The sequence below is a fragment of the Homo sapiens genome, chromosome 11, assembly GCF_000001405.40.
Source record: "Homo sapiens chromosome 11, GRCh38.p14 Primary Assembly".
NCBI classification, from domain to species: Eukaryota; Metazoa; Chordata; class Mammalia; order Primates; family Hominidae; genus Homo; species Homo sapiens.
In genome coordinates this window covers 48,511,398-48,516,693 of record NC_000011.10, presented here as the reverse complement: position 1 = coordinate 48,516,693, position 5,296 = coordinate 48,511,398, and the positions used below count along the sequence as shown (strand labels likewise).

At 37.7% G+C, this 5,296-nt stretch overlaps 1 pseudogene; it reads right to left on the bottom strand.

Moving 5' to 3' along the window:
• Window positions 3,430-4,373, bottom strand: OR4A40P (olfactory receptor family 4 subfamily A member 40 pseudogene; annotated as a pseudogene).

Below are 5,296 nucleotides of genomic sequence, written 5' to 3'. Positions count from 1 at the left end.
TCATTTTATGAGGCCAGCATCATCCTGATACCAAAGCCGGGCAGAGACACAACCAAAAAAGAGAATTTTAGACCAATATCTTTGATGAACATTGATGCAAAAATCCTCAATAAAATACTGGCAAACCGAATCCAGCAGCACATCAAAAAGCTTATCCACCATGATCAAGTGGGCTTCATCCCTGGGATGCAAGGCTTCTTCAATATATGCAAATCAATAAATGTAATCCAGCATATAAACAGAACCAAAGACAAAAACCACATGATTATCTCAATAGATGCAGAAAAGGCCTTTGACAAAATTCAACAACCTTCATGCTAAAAACTCTCCATAAATTAGGTATTGATGGAACGTATTTCAAAATAATAAGGACTATCTATGACAAAACCACAGCCAATATCATAATGAATGGGCAAAAACTGGAAGCATTCCCTTTGAAAACTGGCACAAGACAGGGATGCCCTCTCTCACCACTCCTATTCAACATAGTGTTGGAAGTTCTGGCCAGGGCAATTAGGCAGGAGAAGGAAATAAAGGGTATTCAATTAGGAAAACAGGAAGTCAAATTGTCCCTGTTTGCAGATGACATGATTGTATATCTAGAAAACCCCATTGCCTCAGCCCAAAATCTCCTTAAGCTGATAAGCAACTTCAGCAAAGTCTCAGGATACAAAATCAATGTACAAAAATCACAAGCATTCTTGTACACCAACAACAGACAAACAGAGAGCCAAATCATGAGAGAACTCCCATTCATAATTGCTTCAAAGAGAATAAAATACCTAGGAATCCAACTCACAAGGGATGTGAAGGACCTCTTCAAGGAGAACTACAAACCACTGCTCAATGAAATAAAAGAGTATACAAACAAATGGAATAACATTCCATGCTCATGGGTAGGAAGAATCAATATCATGAAAATGGCCATACTGACCAAGGTAATTTACAGATTCAATGCCATCCCCATCAAGCTACCAATGACTTTCTTCACAGAATTGGAAAAAACTACTTTAAAGTTCATATGGAACCAAAAAAGAGCCCTCATCGCCAAGTCAATCCTAAGCCAAAAGAACAAAGCTGGAGGCATCACACTACCAGTCTTCAAACTATGCCACAAGGCTACAGTAACCAAAACAGCATGGTACTGGTACCAAAACAGAGATATAGATCAATGGAACAGAACAGAGCCCTCAGAAATAATGCCGCATATCTACAACTATCTGATCTTTGACAAACCTGAGAAAAACAAGCAATGGGGAAAGGATTCCCTATTTAATAAATGGTGCTGGGAAAACTGGCTAGCTATATGCAGAAAGCTGAAACTGGATCCCTTCCTTACACCTTATACAAAAATCAATTCAAGATGGATTAAAGACTTAAACATTAGACCTAAAACCATCAAAACCCTAGAAGAAAACCTAGGCATTACCATTCAGGACATAGGCATGGGCAAGGACTTCATGTCTAAAACACCAAAAGCAATGGCAACAAAAGCCAAAATTGACAAATGGAATCTAATTAAACTAAAGAGCTTCTGCACAGCAAAAAAAACTACCCTCAGAATGAACAGGCAACCTACAAAATGGGAGAAAATTTTCACAACCTACTCATCGGACAAAGGGCTAATATCCAGAATCTACAATGAACTCAAACAAATTTACAAGAAAAAAAACAACCCCATCAAAAAGTGGGCGAAGGACATGAATAGACACTTCTCAAAAGAAGACATTTATGCAGCCAAAAAACACATGAAAAAATGCTCACCATCACTGGCCATCAGAGAAATGCTAATCAAAACCACAATGAGATACCATCTCACACCAGTTAGAATGGCGATCATTAAAAAGTCAGGAAACAACAGGTGCTAGAGAGGATGTGGAGAAATAGGAACACTTTTACACTGTTGGTGGGACTGTAAACTAGTTCAACCATTGTGGAAGTCAGTGTGGCGATTCCTCAGGGATCTAGAACTAGAAATACCATTTGACCCAGCCATCCCATTACTGATTATATACCCAAAGGACTATAAATCATGCTGCTATAAAGACACATGCACACATATGTTTATTGCAGCATTATTCACAATAGCAAAGACTTGGAACGAACCCAAATGTCCAATAATGATAGACTGGATTAAGGAAATGTGGCACATATACACCATGGAATACTATGCAGCCAGAAAAAATGATGAGTTCATGTCCTTTGTAGGGACATGGATGAAATTGGAAATCATCATTCTCAGTAAACTATCACAAGAACAAAAAACCAAACACCGCATATTCTCACTCATAGTTGGGAATTGAACAATGAGATCACATGGACACAGGGAGGGGAATATCACACTCTGGGGACTGTTGTGGGGTGGGGGAAGGGGGGAGGGATAGCATTGGGAGATATACCTAATGCTAGATGATGAGTTAGTGGGTGCAGTGCACCAGCATGGCACATGTATACATATGTAACTAACCTGCACATTGTGCCCATGTACCCTAAAACTTAAAGTATAATAATAATAAATAAATAAATTTTTTTTAAAAAGTGTGGTGTTTCCATAACAGCAATTTAAAGTGTTTGGCACTGGCTGTAGTATATAAAACCAAGGGCCTCCATGATATTGTAAGTAAAGGCTGAAAATACACATAACTGTTTAGTAATTCTGTCACCTATAAGAAGGTAGAAAATAAAAAATGTATTTAAATGAATAGGTGGATACAACTAAAATTTCCTAATAGAATATTGAAAGTTACAGCTGTTTATTATAGCATTGTATGTTATAATAAGTCAGATTTTTAAAATAATATTACTTAAAAGATTAACTGTTACATTTTCAGACAGAATTTACAAGAAACATAAAAGAGTCAGAACTTGTGGGTGTCAAAGATGAAAATGGTTTCCCTTTCCAGTCTCTGCAAAGAGCTAAGTACTCTAAAAGTAAGAGGGGTCATCCAAATAAAAGTCATTCCGAACTTGTGGATGTAAAGACACTATGAATAGACTTCAGACAAATTTAATGGTGGGTCACGTAAGTACCTTAAACTAGGCAAACATAATTCCAAGGTTCTTAAGAGTATTATCTGACTGCACATAGAGTTTCAGCTCAAGTCTGAGAAGGGGCAGTTTCAAAGATATTTGTGAATATGGTGCTTGTATATTCCACAAAGTCTTTAAATAAATTACACAGAAGGAAGCACCATAGCCTTCCCTTTTGAACAGGAGCATCTATTTTAATTACCTATTCCTTCCCTTCTCCACTCTGTGCTGGGAATACAGGAGAAATGTCCTGTCTCAGTAGATGTGTAATAGAGAAAATACATAATTTAAAACGTACACAATAGGACCTGCACCCAAGCAGCCCCATCTGCTCTCAGTTCTGGATATAGACGTTGAGATCTTGAACTTCAAACAGATGCCATGATGGGATGACTTCTTAATTGAGCTTGGAGCATCTAAATCCTGTCTTCCTACTTTGGTATCACAAGAGTTTTTCTATAGCATTTCTCATCTCTGAATTTCTCAACGTGTATATAAAAGGATTCAACATGGGTGTGATAACTGAATAAAACACAGTCAGGAATTTATCAATAGGAAAGTTTGAAACGGGTCTAACATATATGAAAATACAGGGAACAAAAAACAAGATAACCATGGCAATGTGGGAGCTGCAGGTAGACAGAGCTTTATGCCTCCCTTCCTGACTATAAGTTTTAAGGGAGTTTAGGATGACCCCATAGGAGATTAGTAGAAGGGTGAAGATGACCATACAGATTGCTCCACCATTGAAAACAACAGCAAGGCCTATAAAGTAGGTGTCAATGCACCCCAGTTCCAATAAAGGGTATAAGTCACAGAAAAAGTGGTCAATGACATTGGGGCCACAGAAAGGGAGACTGTACACAACTAAAATTTGAAACACAGAATACAGAAAACCTCCAGTCACAGCCACCACCAACAGAAGGATGTAAACCTGTCAATTCATGATGGTCAAATAGTGCAGTGGCTTACAGATGGCCATGTGGCAATCATAGGCCATCACCACCAGAAGGAAGACGTCAGTACCACCTAACAAGTGGTCTATAAATAGCTGACCCATGCAAGCTGGGAAGGAAATAGTCTTTTTATCACAGAGTAAGTATACAATCAATAAGGGAGGAATGGTGGTGGAATACACAGCATCTATAAATGACGGGCAGGCAAGGAAGAAGTACATTGGGGAGCCCAAAGAGGGACTGGCAATAATAGTCACCACAATGAGCAGGTTCCCCACCATAGTCACAATGTATATGAGTAAAAACATGACAAATAATGCATTTTGCACATCAGGATCCTGGAGAAGCCCAGGAGGACAATTTCTGTAATATTGTTATTCTGTCTCATTTACTCTTCTTTCAGGCTTGTATCAGAGGTGAGAGCTCAGGAGAACAAGACCTGTAATGAAATAGTGAACGGGAACATGATTACATCCATTGTGTCACAGAGCATATTTTCATTGTTGTATCCTCAATAGTGATTTACACACAATAAACATGCAGTAAGTCTCTATTGTGTTTCTCATCCAGAGTCCATCTTCCCTTGACAATTCTATTTCTCCACAAAGATTTTCATTTCTGCGACAGGTAAAGGCTTCTACCTCTAAGTTTTAGTGAATATTCTATACAGAAGAAGTGTTAAAGTCCCAAAAGCCATTCATACATTTTATAACTTCTTATTTAAAACATTTTTCTTGGCACAGAATTCAGCTATGATGAATAGGCGACAGGTTCTTGGTCTCAAATGACTTACTCTCTGATGGTGGTAACAAATTCTAAATAAATAATTGACATAGATATAGTCCTTTGTGTTTGTATGTGTGGTATCTTTATAATATGATCTGTGCAGCACCAAGAATAACATCTTCTGAAATATGTCACTCAGTACTCTGGCCTTCTACTATTAGACCTTCATTCCTTCATGCCTCAAAGTATGTTCAGTCTTTATTTGTCTTTCATTAAATGTCAGAAGACATGACTCTGAAATGTATAAATAGCTATATTATTTATCACATTGTTCCCTGTAGTGATTACTTGGTCTGACTCCTTGTCCAACTTATAAGGAGCTGTGATTCTCTCCATTTTATCCTTGCCTATACCCCAATTTTTTCAACACTTACATACAATATCTTAATTTTAATTAATTTGAACTCAAGTGAACTAACTCATGACTATCACCAAATATGCCATGTTTATTTTTTAATGAATTCTTGAGATGAGCTAGGTAGTGAGAGAGGAGAAAATAGACACTATAGAAAGAGGTACAGAAC